Source organism: Homo sapiens, chromosome 14 (genome assembly GCF_000001405.40).
Source record: "Homo sapiens chromosome 14, GRCh38.p14 Primary Assembly".
Taxonomy (NCBI): domain Eukaryota; kingdom Metazoa; phylum Chordata; class Mammalia; order Primates; family Hominidae; genus Homo; species Homo sapiens.
In genome coordinates this window covers 105,815,515-105,836,098 of record NC_000014.9, presented here as the reverse complement: position 1 = coordinate 105,836,098, position 20,584 = coordinate 105,815,515, and the positions used below count along the sequence as shown (strand labels likewise).

At 41.4% G+C, this 20,584-nt stretch overlaps 1 gene, besides 1 other annotated feature; it reads left to right on the top strand.

The window, feature by feature from the left end:
- IGH (immunoglobulin heavy locus) overlaps positions 1-20,584 on the top strand; it is a 1,293,408-nt gene that overhangs the window by 1,043,746 nt on the left and 229,078 nt on the right.
- Positions 17,265-18,473: an enhancer, noted in NCBI's record as "amplified fragment containing the chr14:106283960-106285167 (GRCh37) CAGE-defined region". NCBI's record gives its function as "transcribed enhancer in B cells {active_cell/tissue: B cell}" and the evidence as "EXISTENCE:reporter gene assay evidence [ECO:0000049][PMID:24670763]".

The following is a 20,584-nucleotide window of genomic DNA, read 5'->3' as shown; positions in this document are numbered from 1 at the left end:
TGAGGTGAGAAGTGAGTAAAATCCTATCTGAAAGGGGCTCAGCAAGGACCCAGGTATTGGTCGGACCTCCTGTTATCATCTGCTGTGGGCTGAACATTTGTGTCCTCCTGAAATTCATACATTCGTATATTCATACCTTTCCCCCTGAAATCCTAACCTCCAATGTAATGGTATTAGAAGATGGGGCTTTTGGGGGTGCTGAGGTCATAAAAGGGGGGCCCTCATGAAGAGGATTAGCACCCTTATGAGAGGGGCCCCAGAGAGCTCCCTCACCCTTTCTCCCCTGTGAGGAGATGCCGTCTATGAGCTGGGATGCAGGCCTCACCAGACACCCATCGGCTGGAGCCTTGGTCTGGGACATTCAGCCTCCAGAATGGTGGGAAATAAGTTTCTGTTGTTTCTCAGCCACCACGTCTGTAGTATGTGGAAGTCATCAGAATCAAAATTGAGTCACCTGTGGTTTTTTTTTTTTCTAAATCCCTGACAAATAGAGCCTAGGAAGGCCAAGAAGAGAAGAGGGTTCTCATCCATAAACACTTGATAACAAAAACTATCACCAAGGACTCTACAAAAACTGCAACTGGCACAAAGACCATCACAACCTTACACAGAAAGTACTTCTGTGAGGACATCTTCCCAGCAACGGGCTGTCCAACCTCAGACTGGCATTGCCTTTGTTATTGGTCCTTGTAGAGAGGGTAATTATCTCAAAGCAATCATGTAATCCTCCTCATTTTTCCTTTGAAAGCCTTGGTCTCCCTTTGCCTCCCTGAATACGCACATAGCTGATCATGGCAGGTGTATCCCACTGCAGTGCTCTACCTCCAAATAGATATCTTTTTCTTTTAGACGGCATTTCTCTTGTTATTTAGATTGAGATACATGGAGTCAGAAGTGGGATGTGGAGAAGGATCACTGCTGGAAGGAGTCAGTAATTCTTGGGCCGGTGTGCAGTATTCACTTGAGCCCTTTGAGCTCTCAGCTTTTTCTGAGCTACTCCGTCTTCTCTCAGGCCAACCCTCCCTCTTTTTGGAAGATGCTTTTTTAATATTATGTGGGGTTTGTTTATTAGACTGCCTTAATAAAGGACCTTATGTCCCTCCTGGGATGATAAAAGGCTTTTCGTGCTTTCTGGCAAGTCCTGTTTAGCATAAAGACATTCCAGCCTGAGTACTCTGGTTTCCACAGAGTTTGCATTCTGTCTCTGAGGGATGTCTTCTCTGGTGAGGTGCCTCCTTTAATACTTTGTTGGATATGCATGCCTGGGTGAACATATTTGTGAGCACCCTTATCTTGCCTTCTTTTGCTGTGGTTATGTGTATCTGTAAATGACCTGGCTCTTTTCCTCTGCTTGCTTCTAAAAATCTTTGGAGAGCAAAATAAACATTCTAAATGGTGGGCACAGGCTGTCTCATTAGAAGCTGCTACAGCAGTCACCACCGTCTAAAGCACCAGTCCAAACTGCCGGCGTGGCCTCATAGTATCTGTAGAATGTTCTTTACTGTAAAAAGATTAATAAGAAGGGGAATGGTTTTTAAATATTAAGGCACAGTAAGTTTTCTGGAACTCCCGCTGGCTACGTCTTTGTGCACATTTTTAAACTAATGGGCAAATTACGTCAAGGAAAATTTAGAGTTCCAATGGTTATTTTTCGAACTCTAACAAAAACCCTGCAACAGTAGTCATCATGCAGTGCCTCCTAAGTCCTCTATCTCTCTATTTTGTTTTTCTGCCTACTTTAAATCTGCTGACTTTTTTACTCATGTTGCAATAAAACTCACTGGTTACAGCATTCCAGCCAAGATATTTTTGGTTTTTTGTTTGTTTGTTTTTTGTTTTTTGTTTTTTTAGATGGAGTCTCACTCTGTCACCCAGGCTGGAATGCAGTGGCGCTATCTTGGGTCGCTGCAACCTCTGCCTCTCGGGTTCAAGTGATTCTCCTGCCTCAGCCTCCTGAGTAGCTGATTACAGGTGCCCGCCACCATGCCCAGCTAATTTTTGTATTTTAGTAGAGACAGGCTTTCACTGTGTTGGCCAAGCTCGTCTTGAACTCCTGACCTCAAGTGATCCACCTGCCTTGGCCTCCCAAAGTGCTAAAACTATAGGCGTGTGCCACCGTGCCTGGCCCAAGATTTTTTAAAGTTTCCTAAAGGTTTTAAATTAGTGGCTTTACAAATTACAACAGCTCTATGGTAACCAATGACCTAGATGTAAGAGTCATTTCTTTTGAAAATGTAGATTAGCTTTGCTTGGCTAACAACTGCTTAGGCTGATGGAATAGCTAACTGAAGGACTGATGGTCTCAAAGAACAGAACTAGGTAAATATTTACAGAAATTGGGCTTTCAGATCGAACAGGCCAAAATCTTGAGCTTAGAGCAGTAATATAAGGTATCTCTGTCTGCCATAAAAATTTTGCTTTGCCACAGGTGCCAGAAAAAGGAAAAACACTGCTAAATGCTTCCCTGCATGCATTGTCTAGTCCAGAAAATCAGACCAGCAACCAAAAAATAGATTTGTTACTAGTATAGACGAGTTGAAGATTTTGTTTTTCATATACAATTCAGCCAGTCCTAGCTAAAACGCAATCACTGGAAATTTAACCTTAAATTCATTTAAAACTGAAAAAGGTCTTTTGAAATCAAACTAATGCAGAAACTGCTTTACCCAAAATTCTGATCCATGGCCCTCATTAGACGACCCATCAGGACAAATAAAGTTTAGCTTGTGAACAAGTCCCAGTTTTGTCAAAAATATAATTTGGATTGAAGTGTCTTTTAGAAACTGACACATTTGTGTTATTATCTCATGACCAAAATTCTAAAATGAAAGCTACAGTGTCTTTATTTGTGTGCGTATGTGGTTAATTGTGTTTATGCATATGTATGTGTATTATGTTGTATGTTGTTATCTACATGGTAAAATCTGGCATCATCAACAAAAAATCTATTAAGGGATTCTATTTAGATTGGCTTAGATAAATAAGCATTCATAAAAAATATGTACTAATTAACCCAAATGCCTTTTAGTTCATGTGACTTAAGTATATCTTTAATAAACAAATCAGTTTTAAAATTGTTGGTAAAATAAAAATACAAATGTTCTCAGAATTGTCAGCATATATTTTTCCCTGAGTTTACTCGTCAGACAGCTTTATATTTGTCTCTGATAGATGTTTTAAGATGTCAGGGTTTGACACAAAGATGATAAAACTATAAACCCATCCTAAAACAGAATAATCTTTGTATGATCTTTGATAAATAAGACTAATTTGGCTGAGTGCGGTGGTTCATGCCTGTAATTCCAGCACTTTGGGAGGCCAAGGTGGGCAGATGACTAGAGGTCAGGACTTTGAGACCAGCCTGGCCAACACAGCAAAACCCCATCCCTACTAAAAGTACAAAATTAGCCAGGTGTGGTGGTGGGCATAATCCCAGCTACTTGGGAGCCTGAGGCAGGAAAGTCACTGGAACCCGGGAGGCAGAGGTTGCAATGAGCCAAGAGAGCGCCACTGCACTCCAGCCTAGGCAACAGCGAGACTCCATCTCAAAAAAAAAAAAAAAGGCTAATTTAATATTGCAGGCTTAATAAAAACAGCTGTATCTTATGAGCTATCGACAAAATACCCATACACTTCACTAAGTTTCTTACTAAGTGAACATCTAATAATCACAGGCTATAAAAATGGTTAAAAGGGAAATAACTTTAAGTAATGGCTAGCTTTGTCTAATATCTCAATTTTCATAAGTAATCTAGGTAAATTATTAAAAATAAATTAATTAAGCCTGGTGTCATGGCACACGCCTATAGTCCTAGCTACTCAGGAGGCTGAGGTGGGAGGATTGCTTGAGCCCGGAAGTTCAGACCACCCTGAGCGATGCAACAAGACCCCCATCACTAAAATAAATAAATAAATAAGATAAATGTCAAGAAAATAAATGTTTATAAATAAGCTTCTTATGTAATTTAAGATCTTAAAATTATGTTATCTTCAGTTAAATAATAGATACTCATTAAATGTCTGGGTCATTTCCAAATAAGATTTTTAAAACTAACACAAATTACTGAACATAAATGTTTGTTCTTGGCTTCTTAAATTTTATAGAAATTTTGTAGAAAGACTAAATTTATTTGGGTCTATTAATATATGTAAAAATTATGTCATAGAAATATGTTTTCAAAAATTATAAAATTTTTCTCATCTATAAAATAGTGATATGTGACAAATGGTTAAAATTTGCTTGCTAGAAAATAAGGTTACTAAGAGTTAAAATTCTAATTAATATATATAATTCTGTCTACAAAGTATACCACAAAAAATAAGATGTGTTTTTCATTTTTAAAAACTATAAGACAGGCATTTATAATTTATTTTACTGCAAAAAAAAATTTATCTAATTTGGAGTTTGTTTAAAGGTTGTTTCAAAGCACAGATTTAGGAAAAAAGTAAAAACAAGATGGAAAAGAACCACTCTCATCTGCCCCCACGTAAGACGTACCTGCTCCCCTTCCACCACGACTGTGTTTCCCAAGGCCTCTCCAGCCATGTGGAACTGAATTTAATCTACAAATAGAGTTGATCAAGTAACTTTAAGGTATATGGACAATAATATGCTTTGCAGCATAAAGACCTGAAAACAAACTAAATGCCCATCAGTGGGAAATTGTTTCAATAAACCACAGAACATTCCGTGGAAAACTCCACAGCCATTCAAAAGAATGAAGGGGGAGAGATCATCATGGTGGACAGGAGTCAGGACTAGATTGCAGTCCGACTGGGATGGACAGAGCACATGTGGAGGCTGGCACCGTGAATTTTAGCTCCAGAACAACTGCAGGAATAAATCAGGAATCCCAAGAGGATCCACAGACCATGTGAAGGAAGCAGCCTGCTCCTGCAGGACCCAGAGACACCCCAAATACTGTGAGTGCCCAAACTGTGGAAGTGGGAATGGGAGATCGTCCATCCTGCACACACACCCTCACTAGAGAAACCAAAGGTCTAGTTGGTGGGAAAAGGTTCCAACCTTACCTGGAGCTGAGTCAATTTAGAAAGCTGAGCGAAATACAGGGGTACAGGGAGCAGCGGGAAAGGCCCTGGGAGCTTCCTGGGTCCCCAGGCAGGCCATTCCTGCATGGCACCATATGAATACTTTGGGAGGGTGGCCAGAGGCACAGGGAAAATGTCACAGGGAGAAGGAAGTCTCCAGCTGAACGCAGGGGAGGGCACGAATCCTGCAGACCCCACTGGTAGAGGAACAACCAAAGCCCTTCTTCATAGCTGGGAAGTAGGTAGCCTGGGGCAAGTTCTCTGCTTGCCCAATGCCTGGAAACAGACTCAGTGCTGTTGGCGAGGGGCATGGTGTGAGTGAGACCCACCTTCAGTTTGCATGGGAGCTGGGTGACACCTGTGACTGCCGGCTTTCCCCACTTCCCTGACAACCTGCATGACTCAGCAGAGGCAGTCATAATCCTCCTAGGTTCACAACTCCATTGACCTAGGAACCTCACAGCCATCCCCCCCAGCAGCTGCAGCAAGAACTGTCCAAGGAGACTCTGTGAGCTCAGACACACCTAGCCCTGCCCGCATCTGATGGTCCTTCCCTACCCACCCTTGTAGTTGAAGACAGAGGGCATATACTCTTGGGAGTTCTAGGGCCCTACCCACTGCTGGTTCCTCTCCATACTACCACCACTGATGCTCTCTGGAAAACGCCATCTCCTGGCAGGAGGCCAACCAGCACAAAAACAGAGCATTAAACCACCAAAGCTAAGAACCTTCATGGAGTCCATTTCACCGCCCCGCCACCTCCACTGGGACAGTTGCTGGTATGCACGGCGGAGAAACCCACAGACAGTTCACATCACAGGACTCTGTGCAGACAACCCCCAGTACAAGCCTGGAGCCTGGTAGACTTGCTGGGTGGCTAGATCCAGAAGAGAAATAACAATCACCACAGCTCGGCTCTCAGGAAGCCACATCCACAGGAAAAGGGGGAGAGTGCTACATCAAGGGAACACCCCGTGGGACAAAGGAATCTGAGCAACAGCCTTCAGCCCCAGACCTTCCCTCAGACAGAGCCTACTCAAATGAGAAGGAACCAGAAAACCAGCTCTGGTAATATGACAAAACAAAGCTCTTTAACACCCCCAAAAAATCGCACTAGCTCACCAGCAATGGATCCAAACCAAGAAGAAATCCCTGATTTACCTGAAAAAGAATTCAGGAGGTTGGTTATTAAGCTAATCATGGAGGCACCAGAGAAAGGCAAAGCCCGATGCAAGGAAATCCAAAAAAAGATACAAGAAGTGAAGGGAGAAATGTTCAAGGAAATAGATAGCATAAAGAAAAACAATAAAAACTTCAGGAAACATTGGACACACTTATAGAAATGCAAAATGCTCTGGAAAGTCTCAGCAACAGAACTGAATAAGTAGAAGAAAGAAATTCAGAGCTCGAAGACAAGGTCTTTGAATTAACCCAATCCAACAAAGACAAAGAAAAAAGAATAAGAAAATATGAGCAAAGCCTCCAAGAAGTCTAGGATTATGTTAAATGAACAAACCTAAGATAATTGGTGTCCCTGAGGACGAAGAGAAATCTAAAAGTTTGGAAAACATGTTTGGGGGAACAATTGAGGGAAGCTTCCCCAGCCTTGCCAGAGACATAGACATCTAAATACAAGAGCACAAAGAACACCTGGGAAATTCATCACAAAAAGATCTTTAAAACTAAAACTAAAACAAGCAATCTACAAAACCTAGGCACATTGTCATCTGGTTATCTAAAGTTAAGATGAAGGAAAGAATCTTAAGAGCTGTGAGACAAAAGCACCACATGCTTAGTTTCACTGGATACAAAATTCTTGGCTGATAATTGTTCTGTTGGAGGAGGATGAAGATAGGGCTCCAATCTCTTCTAGCTTGTAGTGTTTCTGCTGAGAAATCTGCTGTTAATCTGATAGGTTTTCGTTTATAGGTTACCTGGTGCTTTCGGTTCAAAAATTTTTTTAATTTCCATCTTGATTTCGTTTTTGACCCAATAATCATTCAAGAGCAGTTTATTTAATTTCCATGTATTTGCATGGTTTTGAAGGTTCCTTTTGGAGTTGATTTCCAGTTTTATTCCACTGTGGTCTGAGAGAGTGCTTGATATAATTTCAATTTTCTTAAATTTATTGAGGCTTGCTTTGTGGCCTATCATACGGTCTGTCTTGGAGAATGTTCCATACGCCGTTGAATAGAATGTGACCATATGATAGGAAATAAACTCCAAAAGAAGCCGAACAACAACAGTGACACAACCTGTTGAAACCTCTGGGATACAGCAAAGGCGGTGCCAAGAGGAAAGTTCACACCCCTAGGCGCCTACGTCGAAAAGACTGAAAAAGCACAAATTGACATTCTAAGGTCACCCCTCAGGGAACCAGAGAAACAAGAACAAACCAAATCCAAACCCAGCAGAAGAAAGGAATTAATCAAGATCAGAGCAAAACTAAAGGAAATTGAGACAAAAAAATACAAAAGATAAATGAAACAAAAAGCTGGTTCTCTGAAAAGATAAATAAAATTGATAGACCATTAGCAAGATTAACCAAGAAAAGAAGAAAGTCCCAATAACCTCAATAGGAAACGAAATGGGAAATATTACAACTGACACCACAGAAATACAAAAGATCATTCAAGGCTACTATGAACGCCTTTACACACATTAACTAGAAAACCTAGAAGAGATGGATAAATTCTCAGGAAAATACAACCCTCCTAGCTTAAATCAGGAAGAATTATATACCCTGAAGAGACCAATAACAAGCAGCGAGATTGAAATGGTAATTTTAAAATTACCAAGAACAAAAAAAAGTCCAGGACCAGATTCACAGTAGAATTCTACCAGACATTCAAAGAAGAATTGGTCCTATTGGTACTATTCCACAAGACAGAGAAAGCGGGAAGCCTCCCTAATTCATTCTATGAAGCCAGCATCACCCTAATACCAAAACCGGGAAAGGACGTAACCAAAAAAGAAAACTACAGACCGATATCCCTGATGAAGATAGATGCCAGAAATCCTTAACAAAATGCTAGCTAACCAAGTCCAACAACATATCAAAAAGATAATCCACCCCAATCAAGTGGGTTTCATACCAGAGATGCAGGGATGGTTTAACATACGCAAGTCAGTTAATGTGATACACCACATAAACAGAATTAAAAACAAAAATCACATGATCATCTCAATAGATGCAGAAACAGCATTTGACAAAATCCAGCATCGCTTTATGATTAAAACTCTCAGCAAATCAGCATACCAAGGGACATACCTCAGTGTAGAAAAAGCCATCCATGACAACATAATTCTGAATGGGGAAAAGTTGAAAGCATTCCCTCTGAGAATTGAAACAAGACAAGGATGCCCACTGTCACCACTCCTCTTCAACACAGTATTGGAAGTCCTAGCCAGAGCAATCAGACAAGGGAAAGAAATAAAGGGCATCCATATCGATAAAGAGAAAGTCAAACTGTCACTACTGATGATATGATTGTTTACCTGGAAAACCCTAAAGACTCCTCCAGAAAGCTCCTAGGACTGAAAAAAAAATTCAGCAAAGTTTCCAGATAGAAGATTAATGTACACAAATCAGTAGCTACTCTATACACCAACAGTAATTAAGCAGAGAATCAAATCAAGAACTCAACCCCTTTTACAATAGCTGCAAAAAATAAAATAAAATACTTAGAAATATACCTTACCAAGGAAGGGAAAGACCTCTACAAGGAAAACTACAAAACGCTGCTGAAAGAAATCATAGATGACACAAACAAATGGAAACACATACCACGCTCATGGATGGGTAGAATCAATATTGTGAAAATTACCACACTGCCAAAAGCAATCTACAAATTCAATGCAATCCCCATCAAAATACCATCATCATTCTTCACAGAATTAGAAAAAACAATTCTAAAATTCATATGGAGGCCAGGCACGGTGGCTCATGCCTGTAATCCTAGCACTTTGGGAGGCCAAGGCAGTAGGATCACTTGAGGTCAGGAGTTCAAGACCAGCCTGGCCAACATGGTGAAACCCCATCTCTACTAAAAATACAAAAACTAGCCGGGTGTGGTGGCATGTGCCTGTAATTCCAGCTACTACTCAGGAGGCTGAGGCAGGAGAATCACTTGAACCTGGAAGGTTTGCAGTGAGCCCAGATTGTGCCATTGTACTCCAGCCTGGGCAAAAGAATGAGAATCTGTCACAAAAAAAAATTCATATGAAACCAAAAAAGAGCCTACATAGCCAAGGCAAGACTAAGCAAAAAGAACAAATCTGGAGGCAACACACGGCCTGATTCCAAACTCTACTATAAGGCCATAGTCACCAAAACAGCATGGTACTGGTATAAAAATAGGCACATAGACCAATGTAACAGAATAGAGAACCCAGAAATAAACCCAAGTACTTACAGCCAACTGATCTTTGACAAAGCAAACAAAAACGTAAAGTGGGGAAAGGACACCCTATTCAACAAATGGTGCTGGGATAACTGGCAAGCCACGTGTAGGAGAATGAAACTGGATCTTCATCTCTCATCTTATACAAAAATCAACTCAAGATGGATCAAAGACTTAAATCTAAGACCTGAAACTGTAAAAATTCTAGAAACTATAAAAATTTCCAATAACATTGGAAAAACCCTTCCAGGCATTGGCTTAGGCGAGGACTTCATGACCAGAACCCAAAAGCAAATGCAATAAAAACAAAGATAAATAGCTGGGACATAATTAAGCTAAAGAGCTTCTGCACAGCAAAAGGAACAGTCAGCAGAGTAAACAGACAACCCACAGAGTGAGAGAAAATCTTCACAATGTGTACATCTGACAAAGGACTAATATCCAGAATCTACAACAAACTCAAACAAATCAGCAAGAAAAAAACAGACAATCCCATCAAAAAGTGGGGTAAGGACATGAATAGACAATTCTCAAAAGAAGATATGCAAATGGCCAACAAATATATGAAAAAATGCTCAACATCACTAATGATTAGGGAAATGCAAATCAAAACCACAATGCGATACCACCTTACCCCTGCAAGAATGGCCATAATCAAAAAATCAAAAAACATTAGATGTTGGTGTGGATGCAGTGATCAGGGGACACTTCTACACTGCTGGTGGGAATGTAAACTAGTACAGCCGCTATGGAAAACAGTGCAGAGATTCCTTAAAGGACTAAAAGTAGAACTACTATTTGATCCTGCGATCCCACTACTGGGTATCTACCCAGAGGAAAAGACGTCATTCTACGAAAAAGATACTTGCACACTCATGTTTGTAGCAGTACAATTTTCAACTGCAAACTTGTGGAACCAACCCAAATGCCCATCAATCAACAAGTGGATAAAGGAACTGTAGTATGTATATGTGATGGAATACTACTCAGCCACAAAAAGGAATGAATTAATGGCATTCACAGCGACCTGGATGAGGCTGGAGGCTATTATTCTAAGTGAAGTAACTCAGGAATGGAAAACCAAACATCGTATGTTCTCACTGACATGTGAGAGCTAAGATATGAGGATGCAAAGGCATAAGAATGACACAATAGACTTTGGGAACTTGGGGGTAAGGGTGAGAGAGGAAAGAGGGATAAAAGACTACAAATATGGTGCAGCATATGCTGCTCGGGTGATGGGTGCACCAAAATCTCACAAATCACCACTAAAGAACTTATTCATGTAACCAAACACCACCTGTATTCCAATAACCTATGGAAAAATAAACATTAAAAAAATTAAGAAGACTGAAAGAATTAAAAAATTTAAAAAACAGTAAGTAGAAGAGAGGTATGTGAAGAAAGTTATGGGTATGAAGATGTATTTTTGGTACGGAAGGTTAAAAAGAAAAGAGAATTTTTTTAAAAAAGGAAGAATCTTGCGTGATAAATTTTTGTCATAAAGTAAAATGACTGCTTACTTTAAAAAAAGAGGTATCACACACACCAGGGCCTGTTGTGGGGTGGGGAGAGGGGGGAGGGATAGGATTAGGAGATATACGTAATGTAAATGACGAGTTAATGGGTGCAGCACACCAACATGGCACATGTATACATATGTAACAAACCTGCACGTTGTGCACATGTACCCTAGAACTTAGAGTATAATAAATATATATATATATAAAGAAAATTCCACACCTGAAGCCATGTGACAGGCTACAGACAAAACACAGTTAAAACTTTGTTTCATGTACAAAGTTATTTAAAATATTGTACAAAATCACCTTCAGGCTGTCTGTATAAGGTGTACATGAAATACAAATGAATTTTGTGTTTAGACTTGGGTCTATCCAAGATATCTCATTATATATATGCAAATATCCCAAAATCCAAAAAATATAAAATCTGAAACACTTCTGGTCCCAAGCATTTCAGACAGGGGATCGTTAGCCTGTAATGAGAGGGAGTATGGGTCAATTATGACGTTGAAGATTCAAAAAAAATTTTTTTTTAATTTTCAGTCAAGCTCTACCAACTACACTAACTAGAAAACACTCAGGCAGATTGCTTTTTGCTAGGTTAATATGGCATGATTACAACTGTGCATATGAATAACATGTATCAGATTCCTTTTGTTTGGGAATTATTTCATTACAACACTAAACACTGCTTATGTACGCTGGGTCTCTTTTTCAAAGACTACAAATAATGCTTGGTTCTTTGCTTTCAAAATATACCAAACATGAGGTACAAGAATGTACCCATCCATATTTGACCAGGGGTAGAATTAAAAGGTTTGGGTTGAAGAAGATGACATAACATCCCAAGAGGGTTGCATCCCTAGGGGTCATGGGAACAAATGTGGCCAAGTCCCTTTTTAACTGGAAAGGATTTCAGATCCCTGAACAAGACAATTCATCAGTCTTAAGCATAGTAAGTCATCAGCAAATAAGAGAATGATAAACACTAGAAAAATAATCAAATCATTGTCTAAATTCATTATAAAACTATATGAGAAAACTATAAAACTATATGAGAGAGATAAACAGAGACAAGAAGACAAGGATAAAATAAAAAAAGAGGTATCAAACAAAGCAGAACGCCTCAACATGTCATAAAACATCTGAGTAAGTCATAATAAGGTTTGCAAATAATGAATTTACGAAAGGAATTTTGCGTGTGATCAAGATGGCTATAATTAGAAGGGAATTATTTATAAGTCTTTCTAAAGACTGAGGTTTGCTATTAAAAATATGCTAATATAAAACTAAAGATTTAGTTTCCTGTGTTAGAACAACAAAGTTATCTTGAAGTATTGATCTGTTCTTAAAACTACAAGAAGTTTTTATTTTTAATTCTAAAATCTGTTTCTTTAACAGACCATTTCTATTGCTTCCTGGGATCCATTTACTTTCCCTAGTTTCAGGTTGGAAGTCCTCTTCATGTAAAACGAGAATTTCATTTCTTGACATAGTCTTTTCCCCCTAAAGCTTCTCAGTTTTAGATTTCAGAACTTCAACTTCTGTTGTATTTCACAGCACATGATTTATAGATCATGTATATAAATATGGATTTATAGATCATGTATATAAATACAGACTTATCCATCAGTGCCTTCAGCTCTTCCTCCCCATGAGATGGCCTGGGGTGATAGCTCTCTCTTTCAACTTTTTTTTTATCAACTCCTATAACATTTTTTCTCCCATTATAACTCTGTTGTTATGGCTCAATGCTGAAATGTTTATCCTGAAAGTCTAGAAAACAAATGTTCTCTCCAGTATAATTCCAGTATAATTGAATTTTCCCTTGTAACCAGGAAGTTTCTCATGCTGTTGCTTTTTCTATGTGTTCCCCTGCTCAGGTACTAGTTATCTTGTTTACATTTCTCTACTAATGGTTTACACTTATAGCCTTGGACATACTCTTTCTCTGCCTAATTAAACTCAGTGTCTTTTTCATCAGATTTGACTTCCAGTTTATCTACATGGGCTTCCCATGAGGAGACACAATCACACTGCAGGAGGCATTTCTTTAACTTTTGGGTAAGTAGCCTAAAAAAAACAAAGATTTTGTATTTTATTAGGATAATTTTTTGTGTTGTCTTTATGAGGTTTTTGGTTACTTAGGTAACTTGAGCTTTGAAGAAGTTAGGTCCTTTTAATCCATGTAACTTTCCGTATTACTCTTCAAGTCTTTTGATGATCACTGGTTGAATACATGGCTATATTTAATAGTGACCTGAGATTCTGCTTTGATTAGCCATGTTGAACCTTTGACATCTTTGGCAGGCTTCCTCAGGATCAAAATTCTAAAATAAGTCTTTTTTTATCTAGAATTGACTTAGGGATTTTACAGTTAGACCCCTGGAAAGCCTCAAAGAATTTATCTCTCATCCTATAGAGAAAATAAATGATTAGGCTTATTTGGTAAATTATATGGGAAACATTGTCAAATAATAAGTGATATTAGATCTTCTTTCAGTTACATTTGTGGGTATGCTATTGATATGATGTTTCAAAGATTATATAAATTCATATCAGTCTATAACGTTATCAGCCATAATTTTGGTTATGCTACATCTTCTTTAAAGCTATATTTGTATGGAGACGTTACTGATGTGAGTATATTCTAAAGATTATGTGAAATTTATAAAACCCTGATGGTTCTGATGTGATGCTATCAGTCACAGTCATGATTCTGTTTGCTACCTTAAAACACTATAGTAATTTTTAAAAAGTCAATTTCCTTATCAATTGCTGATTATAATGAATTTTTATCAGATGTTTAACCATGGCCATTTTGTTTTTGTGACCCAGAGTTATTGTTTTGATTTTTCTCCAAAAGCATTTGTAATCAGCTATTGTCCAAAATTGCTTTTCATGGAAGAGACTCAAACAGGAACTCTTAAATACGGTTTCCCGATAAAAGATCAATGGACTCAATAAAAAATTTTCAGAACTCTAATAAAGAAACTGAGAAATTCAAAAACCTCCAATCAAGCTCAAGCAGAAAAGCTGACTTCATGATATTGAAGAAGTGATGAGGGGAATATTTTTATGAATTTTATTTGAAGCATCGTTCGTTCTTAAATGTTTTGTTTGCCAGATTTAAGGAAATTTTCTCTCGTAAGTCATCTATAGTTTACAGTAATTTAATACAGTATACTTTTTGTGAACAAAGATGAAAGCAATTATTTTCCCCCCTACGTGACTCCTCCAAAATTTAGAAACTATTCACAAGTGTTCTTATGACGATGTGGCCATTTGTATAAGTCCAGATAAAAACTAGTTGTCTCCTCACTGCAGGATGTAATTGGAAACATCAGGTATATTACTAAGGCTTTGGCTGAAATACCATATTTGAAAAATATACATAGAATGCCTAGTTTCAGCCGGGCGGGGTGGCTCACCCCTGTAATCGCAGCACTTTGGAAGGCCAAGCCAAGCAGATCACCCGAGGTCAGGAGTTCGAGACCAGCCTGGCCAACATGGCAAAACCCCATCTCAATCCCGTCTCTACTAAAAATACAAAAATTAGCCAGGTGTGGTGGCGGGCACCTATAATCCCAGCTGCTCGGGAGACTCAGGCAGGAGACTCTTTTGAACATGGAAGGCAGAGGTTGCAGTGTGCCAAGATCACGCCACTGCACTCCAGCCTCGGCAACAAAGTGAGACTCCGTCTCAAAAAAAGAAAAAAGAATGCCTGGTTTCCAGGGTTCCTTATAATGAGTAAAAATCATCATTTCCTGGCAAGCCCAGAAACCTTAAAACTGTAAGTAAAAGCTAAAGCCTGTCTTGGTTTGGCTTACCAGCATAAAGAGGTATTGAAGTACGAGATTCCTATGTGATCAATGTACAGAGGAAAACTTATGCTTCCAAAGAAAAGCTGTAACACACCTGCTTTTAGATTGTAGCTCTGTGCATTATTTTCAAGTTCTTGTTTTCTACCTATAGACTAGATCCTGAATTCTTCTAGATTCTTCCAATCCAACTTTCTTCCATGGAGAAAAATGAGAACTGCTCTGTTCCTGAAGCCCTATAAGCTGAAGCTAGATAAATGCTAAGAAACAAGTCTCATGCTTGATGTCCGAGCCAGACAGAAAGTTCACCAGACTGCCCAATGCCACGACTAGAGACATTCAAACTGCAAAGCAAGATGAGGAATTTCACATTTTCACTCTGTAGACAGCTTCTCCCAAGTCATGGGAACAAGACTCCATATCATAATGGGACTCTTACCTGTCCTAGGGCCTACAGTTTTTACTTGGCTTCCTATTTTATTTATTCAATTAATTGCCTTGAATCCTGGATTCATTATTTATTCAATTAATTGCCTTTAATCCTAGACATTGCATAATCCTATTATGCAAACTAGGATTGTCATGTTATTACTAATTTTACTTTTTATTTTCCCTTTTTAAACTTTGTATCTGTTACTTGCTGAATTTTTTCAGAAGTACAACTTCTAACAGAATATTGCTAGCCCAGCACTTTGAGATAATAGCAAAAGACCACACCACAGACAAAATTGAACTTAATCATTTACTCCAGGTAGACTTAGCCTGAAAGCCACTGTCTTCAAACCTCCTTTGTTACTCAAATGTGGCTAAAAGGATTTTGACACTGACTCCTAGACATCAATCACTCCTTCAAACATGTGACCAGACCAGACACCTGGGACAGGCCCATCCAAATACTGAGGGACATCAGAACCTACCACAGCATGGTCCATCAGTGAGGCTTCCAGAGAAAGACCTTGACCAAAGGGAGAAAATATGATGAAAGTCGTCAGAATCAAAATGGAGTCCCTTGTGTTAAAAAACAAACAAACAAACGAAACTCTGACATATAAAGCCAGAGAAGGCTGAGAAGCATTCTCATGCATAAACACCTACTAGCAAAAACTATCACAAAAGACTATAAAAAACACAGCCTCGCACAAAGGCCATTGCAACCTTACACAAAAAAATACTTCTGCGAGGACAGCTGCCCAGCAACTGCCTGTGCGCCTCATACTGGCATCACCCTTGTTATTGATCCTTGTAGCCAAAGATTATTTCAAAACGATCATGTAATCGTCCTCATTTTTCCTTTAAAAACCTTTGTCGTCTTTTACCTCCCTGAATATGCACATAGTTTATGATGGTATGTGTGCTCCCACTGCAGTGCTTGGGGACCAAGCTCCCTCCACACCTCACTGTTCCCAAATAAATATTTTCTGTTAGAGCCTCTCTCTGTTCATTATTTAGCTCGACAGGTATTTGGTACAGCAGCCAAAACAGGCCAAGACATTGCCCGGAATCTTCCAGCAGTAGACTGGGGGCCCGGATTTGACCCTGGTCAGTTGGACACGGGCTTCTCTCACTCCACCAGATGAGGAACAAATAGTGAGGTGTGGCGGGAGCTTGGTCCCCAAACAGCTCCTCCGGCCATTTGCCCTCCCCACCCACGGACCAGAGACAGGACGAGGGTGAGCCCCGGTGTCAGCCATGTGCCCCAACCCCGGTGCCTCATTTGCTCCTAGGATGCGTCCTGTAGGTCATCTTCTTGCAGCTGTCCCGCTCAGTCTCCCCTCAACCCCTGCTCATGCTCTTGGTGAGCTTATCAATATTATGGTTTCCAATAGCTTCTGTTCATAGTTTCAACTCATATCTGTCCCTAAGTGTGGACTTTTATTCCACGCGTTGGCACTGGCAGTCAGCTATGTGCCTCCTACTCAAGGCATCTGAAACTGCAGGTGGGTAGTCGGCTAAGTCAGGCCCCAAAAGTGTCTTCATCCAGATTCCCAGAACTGTGACTCTGAGATCTTACATGGCAAAAGGGACTTTGCAGATGAGATTAAGCCAATGATCTTGAGATGAGGAGAGGGGCCTGGATTACTTGGGTGGCTCCGAATGTGGGCACAGGTGTCACAGGAGGGAGGCAGAGGGAGACGTGAGAAGGAGAAGGTGCCATGACTCCGAAGCCAGAGGCTCCTGCTGATCCTCCGGCCCCACCCCCACCCCACGGACCATGTGGTCTTTTTAAAACATGAATCTATCAGGACGGCCCATTCAAACCCACAGAGAGGTTCCCACTGCACCAAGAACAAAGTCAGAACTCTCAGGCCTGACCCACTGCCCTCGGCCACCCTGGAGCCCCAGTGCCCCCAGACCCGGTCCTGGCCTCAGAGTGTAACAGGCTCACTCCCACCACCCATCTGCATGGCAGGCGCCTTGCCATCGCCTCCCCTCTGAGAGCACAGACAGCCACAGCTGGCCTCCGGGTGAAAGGATGGATGAACAGTCAGGCCGGGCGAGTGCTCTCAGAGCCTGCTGGCCAACGGAGGCAGCCGCTCAGGCCTCTGCCTGAGCCATGTGCGATCACAGCTGCCGCCCAGCTGTCCCAAGGAGGCAGCTCTTGGCTTTTCCCCTGGGAGTCGAATTCGCAGGGAGTCCCATCCACAGGCCCCTGGGAGGCGGGAAGACATCTCGGTCTCCAAAGCCAGTAACCTGTGATTCCCCTGAGGATGGTGGGAACCTGGTGTGGGGCAGATGATCTGTATTTGAGCTTTGTTTCTCTCTAGCAATTATACCTAGGAAATACCCTAAAATGCACGACGCAATGCACATTGACCCCAGCAAACTCCCCACCCTGCGCCTGTTTCTAGTGCCGGGGCTGCTCCAGCACAGCCTGTGCACTTGACCGAATGTCTACAGCCCTGGCCCTCAGCCACACTGTGTTGTTTTCATGCACCTTCACCCAACAGAATTGCTCCAACAGAGTGATTCAGGGGGCTGCCCTCCAGCACCACTTCCCCTTTCCATGTTACGTAAATGTCCGTTGAGTCCTGACTGACTACAGAAATCTGTCTTCTGGGGGCATGTGATGCCCCAGGTGGCCCAGGGCCCCGCACAGGAATGTGTTTACAGCTTTCCCGGCACTGAAGCCACAGTCGTAACTCAGCCTCCTGACATGGGCCAGGGCCCTCGCCTCCGCACGCTCTGCAGCTCACCCGTGTCGCCACAGCCTGCTGGGCCTGGACGCCACCCTCTAAGGTGGCACTCGGGGCAGAAACATCTGTTTCCAGCTGGTAACAAACAGGACATGTCTGCCTCCCACACCTAAATCAATGCTTGACAAGCCTGGCCTGATCTCGGGGCGCTCACCACCAGCCACCTGCCTGGGCCCAGCCGACCTCCTCTCCCTTGGTATTTTGAGGGAAGGGTCTGAGCCCTTTCTGCCCCCCTAGACTTGTGGACAGAGGCCCCCCAAGACCTGGACAGAAATCAGGCCATAGTCTCCAGCCCCAAAGAGACTTCCAGAGGCCTGCACCTCTCCTCTCCAGCCGAGGCCCTGATGTCTGCGGCTGTGGCCATAGCCGGCTCTATACCTGCCAAGTTTATTCTAGAAAACATTGGTTTGGACAAGACCTCAAAACGGAATTGGGAAAATGAAAGAGAAAAGAGAAAGGATTTCTGCTCTCATTGTAAGGACAAAAAGCAAATTGAAGACCAGCACTGATACAGATCAATAATCACACCAGAAAAAAATATGGCAAAATATCTATATTCTCTTAAGGTGAATAAGTGTTCTCTCAGAATGAGGCTAAGGCCAGGAACAGTGAAAAGTAAGACTGATAAATTTGCCCACAAGGAAAAAAATAAAGTCTCTATAAGGACAAAGCCACCAAAAACAAAGTAAGCACCCCAGGAAAGAAAGTGACCAAAGTATCTAACATGAAAGAGAGCCTGTATTCGCATGAGCTCCCGAGAAACAGAACCCATAGATGTGGATGTGGATATCGACAGAAATAGGTATCAACATAGACACAGGCTATGGCCACAGGTATGGATAGAGGGAGAGATGCGAGAGAGAGATTTTAAGGAATTGGCTCACACAGTTGTGGAGACGAATGTCCAAAATCTGCAGGGCAAACCAGCAGGCTGGTGACCCAGAGAAGAGCTGAGGCTGCTGCTCCCGTCCAAAGTTCAGCCTGCTGGCAGAATTCTGTCCTCCTTGGGGACTGCCGTCTGTTTTCTCTTAAGGCCTCCAACTGCCTGGATGAGGCCCACCCACATTATGGATGATGATCTGCCTTACTCAAAGTCCACAGGTTGAAATGTTAATAACATCTAAAAATCACCTGCACTATCTAGACTGGTGTTTGGCCAAATATCTGGGTAGTATGGCCTGCCCAAGTTAACACCTAAAATTAACTATCAGAGTCCAAGTAAGTGAATGTAAAAAACAAACAAACAAACAAACAAAAACATGATGAATGAGACAAGCTCGACCTTGAAGAAGTTTTCAGTGGAACGTGGGGAAGAGGAGTTCTCTTTAGCCAGCTGCAGACACAAATAGCCAATAGAACACATGGAGAGTGTTAGAAGTCACAAATCGTCAATGGAAAGCAACTTACAATGTGATGTTCATTGAACATCTACTGTGTGCCAGGCCAAGGGCTAAGGTGGACACGTGCAGTGTGTCTGCACTGCGGCACTAAGGTCCTGGTGGGGAATGGATAATACAATTAAAAACAAATCACAAAGAAACCAGAAGAGGAAAAAAAGCAATTAAAAACAAATAAATGCTCCATAAAGGACAACAGCGCCAGCTGAGGGTGTGGCCATCAATGCCAGGCATCCAGAATATGTCCTTGGGGACATGGACCACTGGGAGGTGCATCCCAGGCAAAAGGAGCAGGAGGGGAAGGGTCCAGGCCAGAAACATGCTTGCCAAGTTCAAGAGCGGTGGGAAGGCCAGTGGGCTTGGGAAGGAGTGGGCTGGAAGGACAGGCCAGAGGCCAGACTGCATGGGGCCAGACTGGCCCTGATTCCAGCCTTGGACTTCACTCTGTGGTGATAGGAGACCCTCAGAGGGACTTGGGGAGGGGTTGTGTGTTTTCCTGGGAGCCACAGAAAAGTGAGTGACACTGGGCTGAGGAAGGAAGTCACAGGACCCACCAGTGTCTGCGCAGGAGTCCCAGTGGAAGAGCAGAAAAAATCCAGGAGAAGATACAAAAGTATTCAAAAGTAATTCAAAATAGCAAAAATCCAAAATATTCAATAATTTAAATGGTATTACTTAAAATAGTATTATAAATAATAAAAATATATTATTAAAAATAATAGATTACTGGCTTTAATACCAATGTACAGAAATCCGTTTTATTTCTATAGACCAGCAACAAACGGAAAATGTGATTCTTATAAAGATGCCAGATGTCTGCTTCTATTAAGGGCATACAGGGAACTCGGACCAGTTAGCAAATCTGAAAGAAGTATTTTAAAAATCTGTTTGAAGGTAATGGAGAGATACCAGAGTGGTGAATAATAGCCACCAAAGTAGCTGCCATTTGCAGTCACTTCCCCCTGAGCCCCTCCCCAAAAGCATTTGCTGATTCTGGGATAGTCAGTGAGAAGCTGAGCAGAAATCCTGACAATCTTAGAGCTAGGGAGAAAAACTCAGAGGCCAGGACTCACCAGGAGAAAGGCGCTTGGGAAGTACATGCACTTTGGATTAGAAACCCATGGACTTTCCTTATAGGAGCAAAGGTGAAGGAAATCATCCCTCACAGGAACTGCAACCAGATGCACTTTATTCAGG